Source organism: Homo sapiens, chromosome 17 (assembly GCF_000001405.40).
Source record: "Homo sapiens chromosome 17, GRCh38.p14 Primary Assembly".
Classification (NCBI taxonomy): Eukaryota; Metazoa; Chordata; class Mammalia; order Primates; family Hominidae; genus Homo; species Homo sapiens.
In genome coordinates, this window is record NC_000017.11 from 48467400 (window position 1) to 48484724 (window position 17325).

The 17325-nt window shown below is 45.5% G+C and overlaps 2 annotated features.

Annotated features, from left to right (window-relative positions):
• Positions 11269-11338: an enhancer, noted in NCBI's record as "active region_12331". NCBI's record gives its function as "activates an Ori minimal core promoter by ATAC-STARR-seq in GM12878 lymphoblastoid cells {active_cell/tissue: GM12878}" and the evidence as "EXISTENCE:reporter gene assay evidence [ECO:0000049][PMID:35858748]".
• Positions 15712-16911: an enhancer, noted in NCBI's record as "CDK7 strongly-dependent group 2 enhancer chr17:46560473-46561672 (GRCh37/hg19 assembly coordinates)". NCBI's record gives its function as "activates an origin of replication core promoter dependent on BRD2, BRD4, P300/CBP, MED14 and CDK7 cofactors, with strong dependence on CDK7, by STARR-seq in HCT116 cells {active_cell/tissue: HCT116}" and the evidence as "EXISTENCE:reporter gene assay evidence [ECO:0000049][PMID:35650434]".

The window sequence follows — 17325 nt, forward strand, 5'->3', positions numbered from 1 at the left end:
CATCCTTATTCCCCTGCTCTTGGGACTAAGAAGTGAATTGATGAATTCGCTTCCTTTATTCATTGCTTCAACAGGCTCCCTTGTCATCTGGCTTCTGGTTGGGCTCAGCCAATGGTCAGTGCTCAAGAAGCAGTGACTTAAGTGACATTAATAGTGACTTTACCAGCCAGGCAGGGTGGCTCATGCCTGTAATCCCAGCACTTTGGGTGGCCAAGACGGGTGGATCACCTGAGGTCAGGAGTTTGAGACCAGCCTGGCTAACATGGTGAAATCCTGTCTCTACTAAAAATACAAAAATTAGCCAGGTGTGGTGGCATGTGCCTGTAGTCCCAGCTACTCAGGAGGCTGAGGCAGGAAAATCGCTTGAATCTGGGAGGCAGAGGTTGCAGTGAGCAGAGATCGTGCCACTGCACTCCAGCCTGGGCAACAGAGAGAAACTCCATCTCAAAAAAGAAAAAAAAATAGTGACTTTACCTGAAGTTTTTATAGGGAAACAGGAGAATGCATTTATAATTTTTTATGCAGCAAGCCACTGGAAAAGGCTGAGGGTAGCATCAGGATATTTATTCCCCCAGCTGGGCCTCAGGTTGACAGTGGCTATGTTCCTCAACTAAAGGCCACAGCTCCTGTGGGCCAACCCTCTCCTACAACTCTCTCCAGACTGTGAGGACTGCTCCTTCCCAATCCTTTAGGCCTCGAGTGGTCATTATTCCCTATTCTGGCTAACCGCACCATTTCTTATGGGTTTCTCTGAACCCTGCCCATATCTTTGTAAATATGCCTGCATTAAACTTTACTCAGACAAACCCCATTTGAGTGTGCCATCTGTTTTCCAACAGGACTGTGATCAATAAGGTACCCTGGAGAACAGAACCAGAAAGAATTCTTGCTCATGGCTAGGGAATTGACCTAGATGAGTATTTTCAATTAAAGAATCTTTGAGATCGAAATAACCATTTTTCAATTCAGCATGTTATTTCTTCGTGAATCTTGTTTTTAGAAATGAAAAATATATCACAGAAGCACTTGGCACTTTCTCCAACATGCCTCAGCTTCTGTGCTCCGGCCTGCCTGAGTGCAGGTGCAAGTGCAGGTCACAAGGAGGGAAGTGAAGCTGCCACATTCTTGCTCATGAGCACTGATTGTTAAACTGTCAAGAATTTTGCAAAAATAAATTGTTTTTAAAAAGAACTAAAATTGGCCAGATGTTGTGGCTCATGCCTGTAATCCCAGCACTTTCAGAGGCCGAGGCAGGCACATCACCTGAGGTCAGGAGTTGGAGACCAGCCTGGCCATCATGGTGAAACCCTGTCACTACTAAAAATACAAAAATCAGCCAGGCATGGTGGTGGGTGCCTATAATCCCAGCTACTCAGGAGGCTGAGGCAGGAGAGTTTCTTGAACCCAGGAAGCAGAGGTTGCAGTGAGCTGAGATCACACCATTGCACTCCAGCCTGGGCAATAAGAGCAAAACTCCGTCTCAAAAAAAAAGAAAAGAAAACAAACTAAAATGGTATAAAGTTACAATAAATTATATGTATATATATACAAACATATATATTTATGCACACACACACACACACACATATATATATAGGTTTTTTTGAGACTGAGTCTCATTCTGTCACCCTTGAACCTCCCAGGTTCAAGCGATTCTCATGCCTCAGCCTCCCAAGTAGCTGAGATTACAGGTGTGTGACAAAATGCCTGGCTAATTTTTGTATTTTTATTAGAGACGGAGTTTTGCCATGTTGGCCAGGCTGGTCTTGAACTCCTGACCTCAAATGATCCTCCCGCCTCAGCCTCCCAAAGTACTGGGATTATAGGTGTGAGCCACCGTGCCTATACGTGGCCCAAATTATATTAAAAGAAAAAAAGATACTAAATATCATCACTTCCTAATTATTTTGCTAAATTTCATTGCTATCTAACCTTTTAGGGTTATTTATGTCTGGTGTACCTAGGTGGTAGAAACACTATAACTGCACATCTCTTCCTAATCCTGTTTTCAATGATGTCATGAAGAAAGTTGAAATCAGGCATGGTGGAATTATTTACACCAAGGAAATAGACGAATGCAACAAATCAGGACTTAACTTTTTTTCTGGAAAGCTGTTTGTTAAATATTTTCCAGGAGAAAGGGAATCCTTTGAGATGATCATGTTATTTGGACTTGTGTGGTTTTAAGGGAGATCCATATGCTTGGTTTCTATTGTGAGAAAGCAAAGTGCAATAGACTTGGCACTGGACTAGAAAGGACAAACTAAACTGTTCTCTCTAAACAGGAGTGAAGGTTAGTTCTCTTTGGCTTCTTAGGACAGGATGGATTAAGTAGACCTTTTAGCATGGGGAGATGTGTATTATATTAATAAATAGCTTTCTTTCACAGTTGTTTGTTTAAAATCTCTGAAAGTACTTTACATCTATGACCTCTTTCATCTATCAAGTATCTGAGTGACCAAGGAAAGAAGCAATAAAGATTTTTGTGTTTTTTTTGTGACAGAGTCTCGCTCTGTCACCTAGGCTGGAGTGCAGTGGCACAATCTTGGCTCACTGCACCCTCTGTCTCCTGGGTTCAGGCAATTCTCCTGCCTTAGCCTCCCGAGTAGCTGGGACTACAGGCGCACGCCACCATGCCCGGCTAATTTTTGTATAGAGATGGGGTTTTGCCATGTTGGCCAGGCTGGTCTCGAACCCCTGGCATCAAGCAATCCACCTGCTTCAGCCTCCCAAAATGCTGGGATTACGGGAGTCAGCCACTGTGCCCAGCCAAGATACTTCTTAAATATAGAAAAACTGGGGACCCATGGAGGTTAAGTGACCTTTTTAACCTCAAAAACTGAGGCCCAGAAGGGCAACGCACTACAGTATCCAGAGCCCTCCTCCAACAGCTGTCACTTGTGTGACCTTGAGCAAGTTGTCCATATTTTCTGAGCCTGTATCTTCATCTGTGAAAAGTTATAGGGGAAATAAATGAAAGAATATGTGTAAATCACCAGATTTTGTGATTGATGTTCTAAAAATTGTGAGTTTAATAGATATACTCAAAGATTTTGTAGGGGAGAAAGAGAGAGCTTACATTATGCAGCACAGACAACTTGAAGGGGCACAATGGGCATCATTGTTGTTAAACACCCATTTGTCAATCCAACGGTATGGAGTTTCACTTCTCCCTTCTCCACACCTGGCCTCTCTCCATCCCGTTGGTGCCTTGCTCCTCCTCCTCTTTTTTCTCTTCTCTCTCTCATGCAGAGCAATATTCTCCCTTCTCTGAAGTTGTGAGCACATCTGCCATGTGTTAAGCACATCAAGGCATTCTTCTAAGCAGAATTCCCTTCCTAAGAGAAATTCTGTTAGTAAAGTTGTTACTTTATTATACATACGGAATCATTTGCAAAGGGTATTCCCATTCACTATTTCCTTTGAATCTCAGAGCCACCCTGTGGCAAGAATTACAATTATAACCACTTTACATTGGGAGATACCGAAGCTTAGGGAATTGCTCAGGGTCATAACTTAAAAGTGGCTGAGGGGCTGAGCGTGGTGACTCATGCCTGTAATTCCAGCACTTTGAGAGGCTGAGGCAGGAGGATCTCTTGAGCCCAGGAGTTCAAGACCAGCCCGGGGAACATAGTGAGATCTTGTCTCAACAAAATATTTTTAAAATTAGCTGGGGGTGTTTCTCCCAGCTACTTGGGAGGCTAAGGTGGGTGGATCACTTGAGCCTGAGAGGTTGAGGCTGTGGTGAGCCATGGTCACACCACCGCACTCCAGCCTGGGTGACAAAGCATAAGAGACCCTGTCTCAAAAAAAAAAAAAAAAAAAAAAAAAAAGACTGAGGCAGGAATTGAACCTGGCAAGGTACCTCACAGCATGCTGGTCGTGCTTCCTCACTCTTCAGAGGCGGCATGTTCTAGTTGGCCTCCTGAAGGAAACTACTAATTTTGTTTTCTCTGCCATTCAGTGAGCATCTAGATTGAGAGCCCCACATAGGTCACTTCCTGAGCAAGATGTCAGGAGCTGGGTTAGGGTTGTAATTCCTTTCCTAGCTTGTTGTACAGCCTCGAGCAAGGAGAAGATTTGAGAGGCAGAAAGGTAGCGCGTTGGGAAAAAATGCTATGTTCCAGGCATTATATGCTAGAACTTTACATTGATTACTTCATCTAATCTTCACTAGAATTCTGTGTGAGATAGCATCAATATTTTAATTTTAAGTAAAATTAAATTGTGGAAACTGAGGCTCAAAGAGCTGATGAAATTTGTTCATGGTCATACGGATAAGAAATGATGGAGATGGGATTTGAATCTTTGTCTCTGGGACTCTAAATTCTATCTGCATTTCCTCATGTCATGTTGTCCCTCTGGGCCTTGGGGCCTTTTTAAAATGTAAATCCAGGCAACTAACTCCTCTGAATCCCACCTCACATGTCTGTCAACTGCTGGATTATGTTCCTAATCCGGCAGGGGTCGCAAGGCTGGGAAACCTTCATGCCACTATCAATCTTCTCCCCAGTTCAGAGGTCAGAGGCTCTCTTTACTCCAGCCCCCTCCTCCACCTCTGGGATGGGGCCACATTTCACCTGAGGATTAACAGCCACACCTCTCTACTTCTGCGGAGGATAGAGGGCGACTATGAAGGATGGTGTGTCTCCCCACCCACATCTCATACCTAGCCTGGGGCGGACTGTTCATTAGGGGCAGGCAGGGAGGAGGCGAACCAAGATAGCACAGAGATCCATCAAGGTGCCAAGCTGACAGGTGCACACACCTGTTTCTAGCCAGAGGAGCTAGAGGCCAGTGGGAACCTGCCTCATAGGAGAGGACTTTGTCTGGAAAGAGAAGGGAGGAAGAAAAAACAACAACAGCAACTGAGAGTGGATCACTCTAATTACATGGCTCTAAATCACCGAGAAGAACCTTGGCTCAAACATCCAAGTGGTGGAGGATGGATTTTTACCTTGACTCCCGCTAATTTTCATTGATTTATGGGGCTTGAAAGCATTTATTTTCTGCTCAGAGGCAGCCCAGCTCCTGCTAAGGAGGTGCAGGACTCCCCTAAATGCTGTCACCATGGAGAGGCGAGCAGCAGAGGTGGCTCTCAGGGCAACAGCTACATTTCCTGCTCAGTTCCAGTTGCTACCTAAGAGCTGGGAGGGTCCAATGGGAGCTGCTGGCCCTGCTGTGACAGCCTCCCCACTCCTGTCCCCAGAGCCTGCCTGCTTCTGGTCACAGCTACTTGAGTTTAACACTCCTGGCAGCTTAGCACTCTGGTTTTTATGTGTGAAGCCGTAATATTTGGTGAGCTGTGAGATGAGGTGGCAAGATTTGCAACTGGCATTCCCTTCCGGCCCTGCCCTGTGATTCAGGTCAGTGGTGTGACAAAGTGAGGCCACCCCTCCTCCCCACTCTGGCTTCCCACCTGTGGCTATTTGGAATGATGTCTTTCCTTCGTTTTCTCCTCTTCCCCCATCCCATGCCTGATAGACTCCCGTAGCTCTTGGCTTTCAAAAGGGGGTATTCAGTCCTCACATTCCAAACCATCTGCTCAATTAAACATTTTAAACAGCAATTCTGAGTCTGCCCAGGACCACATTCCAAAAGGTGGGTGTCAGGAGATAGGCTTTCTAAATGTCAGAGGCTCTGTGAAAATCTTAACTGATGAGGAAGTGGGCCAGCTAGAAAGCATCACGTTTTCTTGGAGATTAGAAACATAAGACTCAGTGTCCATACTTTCAAAATTCCTCTTCCTGAGGCACATGATGAGTCATTTGAGCATCTCTAGTCCTTTTCTCCAGGTCTGTATTCCCTGAGCCTTCCTGCCCTGTTTCCTGAGCCAGGGTTGAAGTTCAGATTCCTGTGGGTCCCCCCAGGCATCCTCCTTATCTGCAGTTGTCTTAATTTCTGTCCCATCTTCCCACCCATTCCAGTTGCAGCTGCCTTCCAGGAATAGAGTAAGATTTATCATAATATGATGGTACAAGGAGGAAGAAAATTAAACATTTTTATGAGATAGTTTTGAGTATATATTAATAGAGGCCAGGCGCAGTGGCTCACGCCTGTAATCCCAGCACTTTGGGAGGGTGAGGCAGGAAGATCACTTGAGGTCAGGAGTTTGAGACCAGCCTGGCCAACATGGTGATGCCCTGTCTCTACTAAAAATACAAAAATTAGTTGGGCATGGTGGTGGGCACCTGTAATCCCAGCTACTGGGGAGACTGAGGCAGGAGAATCACTTGAACCCAGGAGGCGGAGGTTGCAGTGAGCCGAGATCATGCCATTGCACTCCAGGCTGGGCAACAGAGTGAGACTCATTCTCAATAATAATAATAATTATTATTATTATTATTATTATAGAGCTTTGTAATAAAATTATTACTGATTCTGAGCTAGCTGTAGGCCCAGCCTTCAAGAAAACAGGAGCAGAGAGATCTCCTAAAATGTCTTTAAAACTGGGGAGTCTTCAGCCTAGACAACATAGCAAGACCCTATATTAGTCCGTTTTCACGCTGCTGATAAAGACATACCCGTGACTGGGAAGAAAAAGAGGTTTAATTGGACTTAACAGTTCCACATGGCTGGAGAGGCCTCAGAATCATGGCAAGAGGCGAAAGGCTCTTCTTACATGGCAGAGGCAAAAGAAAATGAGGAAGAAGCAAAAGCAGAAACCCCTGATAAACCCATCGGATATCGTGAGACTTATTCACTATCACGAGAATAGCACGGGAAAGACCAATCCCCATGATTCAATTACCTCCCCCTGGGTCCCTCCCACAACATGTGGGAATTCTGGGAGATACAACTCAAGTTGAGATTTCAGTGGGGACACAGCCAAACCATATCATTCTGCCCCTGGCCCCTCCAAATCTCATGTCCTCACATTTCAAAACCAATCATGCTTTATCAACAGTCCCCCAAATCTTAACTCATTTCAGCATTAACCAATATCAGACCTCATCTCTACCAAAGGTAGAAAAAAATTAGCTGGGAATGGTGGTGCGCACCTGTAGTCCCAGCTACTTGGGAGGTTGAGGTGGGAGGATCACTTGGCCCTGGGAAGCGAGGCCTCAGTGAGTTGTAACTGCACCACTGTTCTCCAGCCTGAGTGATAGAGAGAGACTCTGTCTCAAAAAAAAAAAAAAATTAAATGGAGAACATCTTACACATTTGGTATGGATTGGCACTATGACTTAGAGGTAGTAGAATTAGTCAGAAAACTTCTGGACTCTTGCAAATAGTTAGAATGAAAGATTAAGCTTATCTGATAAAGATGTCTCAAAATTCAATGGTTCAAGACAGAAGTTTATTTTTTAGCAAGCGGCTCTGCTTCATGCAGTCATGCAGGGGCCCAGGTTCCTTCTATCTTGCTTTTCCACCATTCCCTAGCCTGTAGCCTTTTTTTTTTTTTTTTCTGGGACAGGTTTTTCACTCTGTTGCCCAGGCTGGAGTACAGTGCATGATCATAGCTCATTGCAGCCTTGAACTCCGGGGTTCAAGTGATCCTCCTGCCTCAGCCTCCCAAGTAGCTGAGACTACAAGGGCACACCACCTTGCCCAGCTAATTTTTGTTCTTATTAGGTTACCCAGACTGGTCTCAAACTCCTGGCCACCGGTGATCCTCCTGCCCCAGCCTCCCAAAGCTCTGGGATTACAGGTATGAGCCCACTGTGCCCAGCGGCACCCCCTCCACCTTTTTCTTTAAAAAAATAAATAGTGGCAAGCTCTTGCTATGCTGCCAAGACTAATCTCAAACTCTTGGGCTTAATTGATCTTCCCACCTTGGACTCCCAAAATGCTGGGATTACAGGACAACACCCAGTCAGGTATAGCCTTTGTCTGCATGATCCAAGCTAGATTGTGGGTACACTCATGTTCTAGGTCTCAAGAAGAATAAAAAATATGGATGAGGCACCTTTCTTTTTTCTTTTTTTTCTTTTTCTTTTCTTTTTTTTTTTCAGACAGAACCTCACTCTGTCACCCAGGCTGGAGTGCAGTGCCACGATCTCGGCTCACTGCAACCTCCGCTTCCCGGGTTCACGCCATTCTCCTGCCTCAGCCTCCTGAGTAGCTGGGACTACAGGTACCCGCCACCACACCTGGCTAATTTTTTGTATTTTTAATAGAGATGGGGTTTCACCGTGTTAGCCAGCATGGTCTTGATCTCCTGATCTCATGATCCGCCAGCCTCGGCCTCAAAGTTCTGGGATTACAGGCGTGAGCCAACGTGCCCAGCCGAGGCACCTTTCTTAAGGTCCCAGCCCATAGGTGGTCCACATCACTTCTGCCTACATTCCATGATCAGGAGCTTAGTCACATGATCAGCCCTAACTGTAAGGTGGCTGGGAAATATATATATATGTATGTGTCTACATATATGTGTGTATATATATGTGTGTGTGTGTGTGTGTGTGTGTGTGTGTATGCAGCCATAGGCCGAGTAGTTCAATTATTGTAGAAGAAGGAAAGAATAGGTTTTTGGATAGTGTCATTACATCAACCTAGATGTGACCCAGATACCACCAAGTAGAGGCTCTTCAGTTATTATGAGCAATTAGGTCAGAGTTTTTGTTAAAGTGGAAACAGGGAAAGTATGATCCATAGAGGACATAAGGACATAGGATCCCTTCGAGTAATGGAACATGTCCCAGGGGCTTGAAAAGAGACTGTTTTGTTTGTCCTTCCAGACAGGGGAGTTCAGGGGCATTCAGCAGCAGACAAGGGTGATGGATACCCAGAACATTGCTTATGAAATGATTTATATTTTTAATAATACTTTATAGTTTACAAGGATCATTTGTACATATTGTTTGATTGGATGTTGAAAACATTCCTCATTAGGGACAGCTAGACGTAGAGAGATGAAAGGTCTTGCACAAAATCACACAATTCATAAATAGCAAAGGTGAGATCTGAACCCAAGTCTTCCTAGTTTCAGTCCAGTGCTTTTTACCAAATAAAAATGCTACATATTGATTTTTTTTTTTTATCCTGGGAGGGTGACTAGTTGGACATCTCAAATGGAGTAAGGACTTTACTTTTTCACTGGACTTTACTTTTTCAGTTTCCATGTAATTTGGATGTCATTGTGAAGACGTCAAGAGTCATGTCCACAAAGATAATACTGGTTATTACTTGGTGACCACCTACTGTAAGCCAGGCCCTGAGCTGGACACTTTATTTATATCTTATTTATTCCTCCTAATGATCCAGCAAGGTAGGCATTATTACACCTATCTTGCAGAGGAGGAAGCTGAAGAGGTTAGGTAACTTTTCCCAAACAGAGAGCTAGTAAGTGGGTAAGCCAGGTCATGAATCCAAGTTAATCTGCTATCTTCCCTCTCAGTGCTGCCTTGAAGGACGAGGGGTATCTGCTGCTCAGGCCTCAGGAATGGACACATAGGTAATGCTTGGTAATCTCAAGCCTGAAGTAAGAATAATTTATTTAAGTTTGTCCCAAACTCCTGACTTCTCATTGGATGTCCTAGAAATTAAACCCAAAGTGAGGTCTTCGCTAGCCATGACCTTCAAAAATCCTTGTCCATTAGGCTCAGTCATTTGTGATGTCAGAACTGGAAACAAACTTAAAGTTCCTCTGGTCCAACATAGCCCTTTTACAGATGATAAAGCTGAGACCCAGAGGCGGGAAAAATAACTTGCCAACAGTATCGGGGCTATTTCCTGGCAAAACTAACATATTCCTTTGATTCTCCAGGCTTCAGGCCCATGAGGACCTCCTGGACTAAGAGCCAGTCTCACTGCCACCTGTCAGAGCCTTCTTCAAGGGAGTAAACAGAGGGGCAGGACTCACCTCACTTCGTGCTGCCAGGGCTAGAGCTATCCTTTCTCCCCACTCCATTCCCACCTTGCTGGGTGAGCCTGCAGTTTTTCCAAGGCAGGGCCAGCCTGTCCTGTGCTGCAAGATGTATTAATCAATTTGATGGGGATGTTAAAGCTTTCTCTTTGCAACTAATTATGGCCTGATTTATAGGCCTGGCCTTGGTTTGATAGAGCTCTCCTCATGACAGGGATGAATGTGGTACTGGCATGGACCCCTTCATCTCTTCCATTTCTCTCTCTTCCTCCCTCCTCCCTCCCTCCCACGGCTCCTGCCTCCTGCCTCTGCTCTTGGTTCCCACAGGAACACCCTAATGACATGTTGACAAGCTAGTGAAGCATGGCTCCCTCTCTGTTGCATCTGCCTCTGGCACCACCATTCCTCCTGTATTCTCTGACATGGGCAGATGGGTGCTGTGCTGGAGGAAGCTCTGTACACCCTTTCCTTCTGGAAACAAGAAACAATAAAAATATTTTGGGTTGATGCAGCATCTTCCTTCCCAAACATTCCAAGAGCTTGTTGAAATAAACTTTATCCCTGATGGAACTTCCAGGTAAGATTTCAGGTAAGGTTTATTCTGGTTATTTTACAAATGAGAGCACTGAGACAGAGAGATGAACTTGTCTGTGATTTTACACACAGTAGGACAATGAAGATGAGAATAAATTGGTGTCATGGTGTCCAGCTCCAAGATCCTCCCATTGCTGGGGCCTTTGGGTCACCTTACTGTTGCTAGGAACCCTTTCCTCATACCTGCGCAACTTGACAGAAGGAGAGCCCTCACATAGGCACTGCTTTTTTGTTTTGTTTTGTTTTGTTTTGTTTTTTGGAGACAGGGTCACACTCGGTCACCCAGGCTGGAGTGCAGTGGTGTGATCTTGACTCACTGCAGCCCCCACCTCCTGGGTTCAAGCAATTCTCTGCCTCAGTCTCCCGAGTAGGTGGGATTACAGGCACCCACCACCATGCCCAGCTAATTTTTTTTTTTTGTATTTTTAGTGGAAACGGGGTTTCGCCATGTTGACCCAGGCTGGTCTCAAACCCCTGACCTCAAGTAATCTGCCTGCCTCAGTCTCCCAAAGTGCTGGGATTACAGGCATGAGCCACCCTGCCCAGCTGCACTGGTTTCTTAACAGTAAGCATAAGGACCTTTGTGGCCACCGTGTGCAAATAGGGATATGAAATAAGATGTAAATCATCACTCTGCACAAAGAGTATGTATGCACATGCGTGCGAGCACACACAGGCCAGTTTCCGGAAGTCTGCATGTCACACAGAGTATAGATAAGGAACAACCGCAAATTATCACCTTCCTTAGTCCTGAAGGCCACTATGAAGTCACCTTCCCCAGACTCAGCAAGGTTCGATGGGCAGCCCCCTGTGTGGGTATATTTCCTAGCAGTGTGCTATGACAGCCACTTCCCAGTAGGGCTAATGGAGAGAAATAGTGGCTTGGCAGCCCTACAATTGTTTGTACTCAGACTTGAAATTCATTGTGTAATATTTTTGAAATACATTTGTCTCTGCAAGGTGCTAACCTAAACCTAACCAAAGTGCAAGCTCTAGACCTAGCCTGAACCTGAACCTGAACCTGAGCCTTAGCCTCACTCCTAACCCTAAATCTAAATCGTTTCCAAACCCTAACTCTAATCCTAATCTAAACTTGAACCCAACTCAAAATGTAAACATAACCTGATCCCAGATCCTAATCCTCACTCTAAAAACAATCTTAACATTAACCCTAATCCTTATTTTAACTCAGTCAGGGGTGATTACCCCTCTTCTTCTCAGGGAATATTTGGCAATGACTAGAGATATTTTGGGGTCCTACAATGCAGAGGGGAAATACTAGAATCTAATCCGTAGGCTGGTCCAAGTGCAGTGGTGTTTACAACTAACTGATCACAACCAGTTACAGATTTCTTTGTTCCTTCTCCACTCCCACTGCTTCGCTTGACTAGCCTTAAGAAAAAAAAAAAAAAAAAAGAGGAATCTAATGGGTAGAGGCCAGGAATACTGCTAAACATTCTAAAATGTTTAGGATACACAGAACAGCACCCTCAAAACAGAATTATTCAGCCCCAAATGTCCATATTGCCAACTTTAGAAATGCTGTCTCAACTTTCACCTTAATTCTAAAATAAACTAATACTATTAACCTTAACTTTAAGAATAAACCAGGCCCGGCACAGTGGTTCATGCCTGTAATCCCAGCACTTTGGGAGGCCGAGGCAGGCAGATCACCTGAGGTCGGGAGTTTGAGACCAGCCTGACCAACATGGAGAAACCCCGTCTCTAATAAAAATACAAAATTAGCCAGGTGTGGTGGCCTAAAAATACAAAATTAGCCAGGTGTGGTGGCGCATGCCTGTAATCCCAGCTACCTGGGGGGCTGAGGCAGGAGAATTGCTCGAACCCGGGAGGCAGAGGTTGCGGTGAGCCAAGATTGTGCCATTGCACTCTAGCCTGGGTAACAAGAGAGAAACTCTGTCTCAAAAATAATAATAATAATAATAATAAACCGAAGGAGGCCAGGCGCAGTGGCTCACGCCTGTAATCCCAGCACTTTAGGAGGCCAAGGTGGGCGGATCACCTGAGGTCAGGGGTTTGAGACCAGCCTGGGCAACATGGCGAAACCCGTCTCTACTAAAAATACAAAAATTAGCCAGGTGTGGTGGCACATGCCTGTAATCCCAGCTACTCAGGAGGCTGTGGCATGAGAATCACTTGAAAACTGGGAGGCAGAGGTTGTAGTGAGCTGAGATCATGCCATTGCACTCCAGCCTGGGCAACAGAGTGAGACTGTGTCTCTAAATAAATAAATAAATAAATAAACCTAAGGCTAGGCACGTGGCTCACACCTGTAATCTAGCACTTTGGGAAGCCAAGGTGGACAGATCACTCGAGGCCAAGAGTTCGAAACCAGGCTGGGCAACATAGTGAAACCTCATCTCTACAAAAAAATACAAAAATTGGCCTGGCATGATGATGTGTACCCATAGTCCCAGCTACTTGTGGGATTGAGGTGGGAGGATTCCTTGAGCTGGGAAGGTCAAAGCTGCAGTGAGCTGAGATCACGTCATTGCACTCCAGCCTGGGTGACAGAGTGAGACCCTGTCTGAAAAATTTAAAAAATGAAAACAAAAATAAGCTTGGCATGGTGGCATGCACCCGTAGTTCTAGCTACTCAGAAGGCTGAGCAGGGAAGATTGCTTGAGCCCAGGAGGCAGAGGTTGCAGTTAGCCATGACCATGCCACTACACTCCAGCCTGGACAACAGAGCAAGACCTTGTCTCAATAAATGAATGAATGAATGAGTAAATAAATAAATAAACCTAAGCCGGGTGCAGTGACTCAGGCCTGTAATCCCAGCACTTTGGGAGGCTGTGGCGGGTGGATCAGGTGAAACCGCGTCTCTACTAAAAATACAAAAAATTAGCGCGTGTTGTGGCGGGCGCCTGTAGTCCCAGCTACTCGGGAGGCTGAGGCAGGAGAATGGGGTGAACCTGGGAGGCGGAGCTTGCAGTGAGCCGAGACCACGCCACTGCACTCCAGCCTGGGTGACAGAGCGAGACTCCGTCTCAAAAAATAAATAAATAAATAAATAAACCTAATTTCTCATTCCTAACTCTAAACTAACCCTAACCTAAACCTGAATCCCAATTTGAAATCTAAACCTAACTGGAACCCAACCCTAACCCTAATCCTAACATAGACAATAATTATAAATTAAACCTAATCTAAACCCAACCCTAACAACATCCAGATGACCAAGTGTTATTAAGATGAGAAGAGGGAACCCAGAACCTTGTTCTATTGTGATATTTCCCTTGGTTTTTCTTCACAATGGACATGAGATTGTTCAGATCCTTCTGGAGTGCATAGGTCTTCTATTTCCCCCGGCCTCCATTATGCTTATATTACTGCTTGTCAGCTCCCTCTGCCCAGAAGAGAAGATATAAAAGGAGATGAAATTCAGACTTGGCTTAGCAGATAGCTGCTTACCAGTATATCTCAGAGGACACTGATGAAGGAGAATGATTTAAAATATGTTACGATATTATTTTTTTCAATTAAGAAAAAGTTCAAATCTGCTCTCCCACATGATTTTTAATTTTTTTTTAGTGGTGAGGTCTTGCTATGTTGTCCAGCCCGGAGTGCAGTGGCTATTCACAGGTGTCATCATAGTGCACTGCAGTCTTGAACCTCTGGGTTCAAGCGACCTCTTGCTGCAGCTTCCCAAGTAGCTGAGACTAAAGGTGCATGCTACCATGCCCGGCCCATTTGATTTTCAATATATCTTAAAGGTCAGTGCATCAGGCAGTATTATCCTCATCTGAAAAATAAGACACTGGAGCACAGATACATTAAAGGCTTTGCCCAAGACCACACAGCAAGGTAGCAGGAAAGCCTAGCCAGAGGGCTTGATTCATAGTCTATCTTCCACTCTTTTACCATGCTTACGATCCCAATTACTATTATCTCTCGTATCCCCCAAGTGCAGTTATCCAAGAATTCTCAATTTTTTTTAGAATTTAAAATGACATCAGGGCTGTGCCCAGGGTTTGAGAAGGGGAAGCAAAGCCAATGAAAAGAGTAGAATAAGGAGGATTAATCCATATGCCCAAGTGCTCAAACACTTTTTGAAGCTCCAGTTCTTGAATGAGAGTGGAGTGGGAGGTGGAGAGAGATGACCAGGCAGTCAAGACCAGGTGAAAACCCTGGAGGATAGAACCAAATGCCAGGTTGAAGTGCTGACAACACACGATAAGAGAAACCAGTCTAGAGCCTCAGGAAGAACCTAAGCTCAGTCCTGTTTTCCCTGCTTCTTTCCTTATAGAAGGTCAGTGCCCCCTTTTTTGGGCAAAAACATTTCCAGGATGTTTCTTATTTCTATGGAAGCTGGAGCTTTACATTCACAACCCTGTGAGCATTACAGTGGCCAGTGACAAAGCAGGGTTTGCTCAGATGGACATTTAAAAAAAGCGGTGGGCTGGGCCGTGGTGCCTCAGGCCTGTAATCCCAGCACTTTGGGAGGTCAAGGTGGGTGGATCACTGGAGGTTGGGAGTTCCAGACCAGCCTAGGCAACATGGTGAAACCTCATCTCTACTAAAAATACAAAAAAAAATAGCCAGGCATGGTGGCGTGTGCCTGTAATCCCAGCTACTCAGGAGGCTGAGTCACGAGGATCGCTTGAGCCCAGGAGGTGGAAGTTGCAGTCAGTGGAGATCGTGCCACTGCACTCCAGCCTGGGCAACAGTGAGACTCTGTCTCAAAACCAAACCAAACCAAAACAAAACAAAACAACAGTGGTGAACAGAGAGGAGGAGGGATGAGTGGAAACTCAGCACAAAAAGGATGTGCATGAGGTAGGGCTGGTTGGGAAGACATAGGGGTAGTGAATCTTGGAGCCCTATAATGTTGAGAAAAACAGACATTTAGAGATCAAATGTAGAGAAAAAAACCCTGGACTGGGGTCAGAACATGTCTATGTGACTCTCCTCTTTGATGCAGACTTTAGACAAATCACTTCCCACAATTTCTGCATCTGGAAAATAGGAGGGTTGAGCCAGAACTCAAATTCTGTCTCAACTTTGATATTCTAAAATTCTTGATGTTCTCAATCAAAACCACCCGGTGCACATCTTTTTCTAATTCTGTCCTCCCTCTGTACATCTGAACCAGCCTGGCCCTGTCCCGGGGGCACTTAAGTTTTTGTTCCATTGGATTTGCGTTCTGGTGAGAGAAGTCCCTGGTTTCTCCTGTTAGATACGAACTTTGAAAAGATGATGGCAGTCTGGAACTCACAGCTCTTGGAGCCTCCAGTAAGTGTTTTGCTGGCCAACAAGGCTCCAAGAGGTGCTCAGGCAGGTATGTCTGACCTGTCACATGACCTTCCCTGTGTTCTGGAAGCTGCCCCTTCCGTGCCCTGTCCCCAGGCCCCAGGGATGCTGGGCCAGGAGCTGGGATGCTGGGAGTCCTCCACAACGGCACACTCATCCCGCTGGAATTGGAGGCCCATCCCTCAGAGGAGCTGATGCTCCTTGATGAGGAGCCTAGCTGCACAGAAGATGAAAAGCTGTCTTTGCGGTGGAATGAATTCCCCCAGACCCAAAGCAGCTGCTCCTCGAAGTCTCTGAAAACAAAAATCCTCATGAATAAATATTAGGGAAGAAATGAGTTTTCTCAAGAACAAAAGCAGATTTGAGGAAGTTCTCTGGGAGAGGTTGGGATCTTTCATCTCATGAAATAAGTAATCTATGTATCACTCAGACTCTGCTTGCCAATTCCCCTCCTGTTCCACTGATCCGCAGCCACATCCTGCTCCTCCCTCACATGGAAACAGGCAGCACCTAGGCCATCATCTGCTCAGACTTTCCTTCAGAGGAAAAGAGAAACCACAAACAGCTGCCGTGTGGGCCCTCCTGCCAGATTCCGGATTCCAGCTCAGACCACGGATCTCGATGACTTCATTGGTATCTGAGCTGGAACTCTCTTCTCCAGGGACAGAGAGGCCGCCAGCATCCCTGCAGAGCCCCCAGAAAAAGAGGAAGCTGCATGGTGGGTTCACACCTGGGCCAGTACAAAAAGGTCATGCTTGGAGAGATACACCAAGATCTCCACCTGAGGGCTGAGTCCTGGCCCAGGGCTTGCTTCACTAGTTGGCAGCCTGGGGTGAGTCCCTCTCCCCACCTCCACCCTGCCCCTTCAAAAAGCCTGTTGCTCATTGAATCAAAAGACATTCCTAAGTGAGAGTCTCATTCCCTTTCATCTGGATCCAAATGGAAATGCAAATACCATGGGACAGAATGTGCCTCTGTGGGAATGAATTTATCAGACCCTGTCCACAGCAGTTTTGCTGAAAGAGAAATTTAGTTTTTCTGAGAGAGCCTGGTGAGGCAATGGAGTTAAGGGGCCAAATGGTTCAAAACTTCTACAAGGTTAGTGCTGGAGGGGAAGCTTCAGCAATCATGAGCCAGACTCCTCCTGTTGCAGATGAGGAAACCAAAGCCCAGAGAGGAGTGTCTTTCACAGCATCATACAGCAAGTTAATATGGCTTAGGATGCTAGAACTTAGGTGTCCCGACTCTAAGCCTGGTGCCAGTTGCAGAAAACAAAAGCCCAAGGCCTGAAAGATAAACTTGGCCTCCTTCAAAATCTGATGGGGGCTGGCACTTTCTGCCTTCAGAATATTTGTTTCCACCAGGAGTGAATCTCAGTTCTTGGCTGTGAGCAGTTGCAGAGGTCACATGAGTGGACAAAAAAGGAATGTGAGTGAGAAGGGAGATGGGGTGAAGATCTTCCTGAACAATGACTTAGCGAGGACAAGTCTGAATCTCCAACTTCATCAGACTCTGTGAACGGTGTTAAATCTTGACTTAGGGGCTATGGGCTTTTGCCTCTCTTTGTAGCCACAGTTGCCCAAAGAGAACTAGTAATGCTGTTATCTTCAGATGCAAAGGATAACACATTAGTAAATTATTCCTTGCTT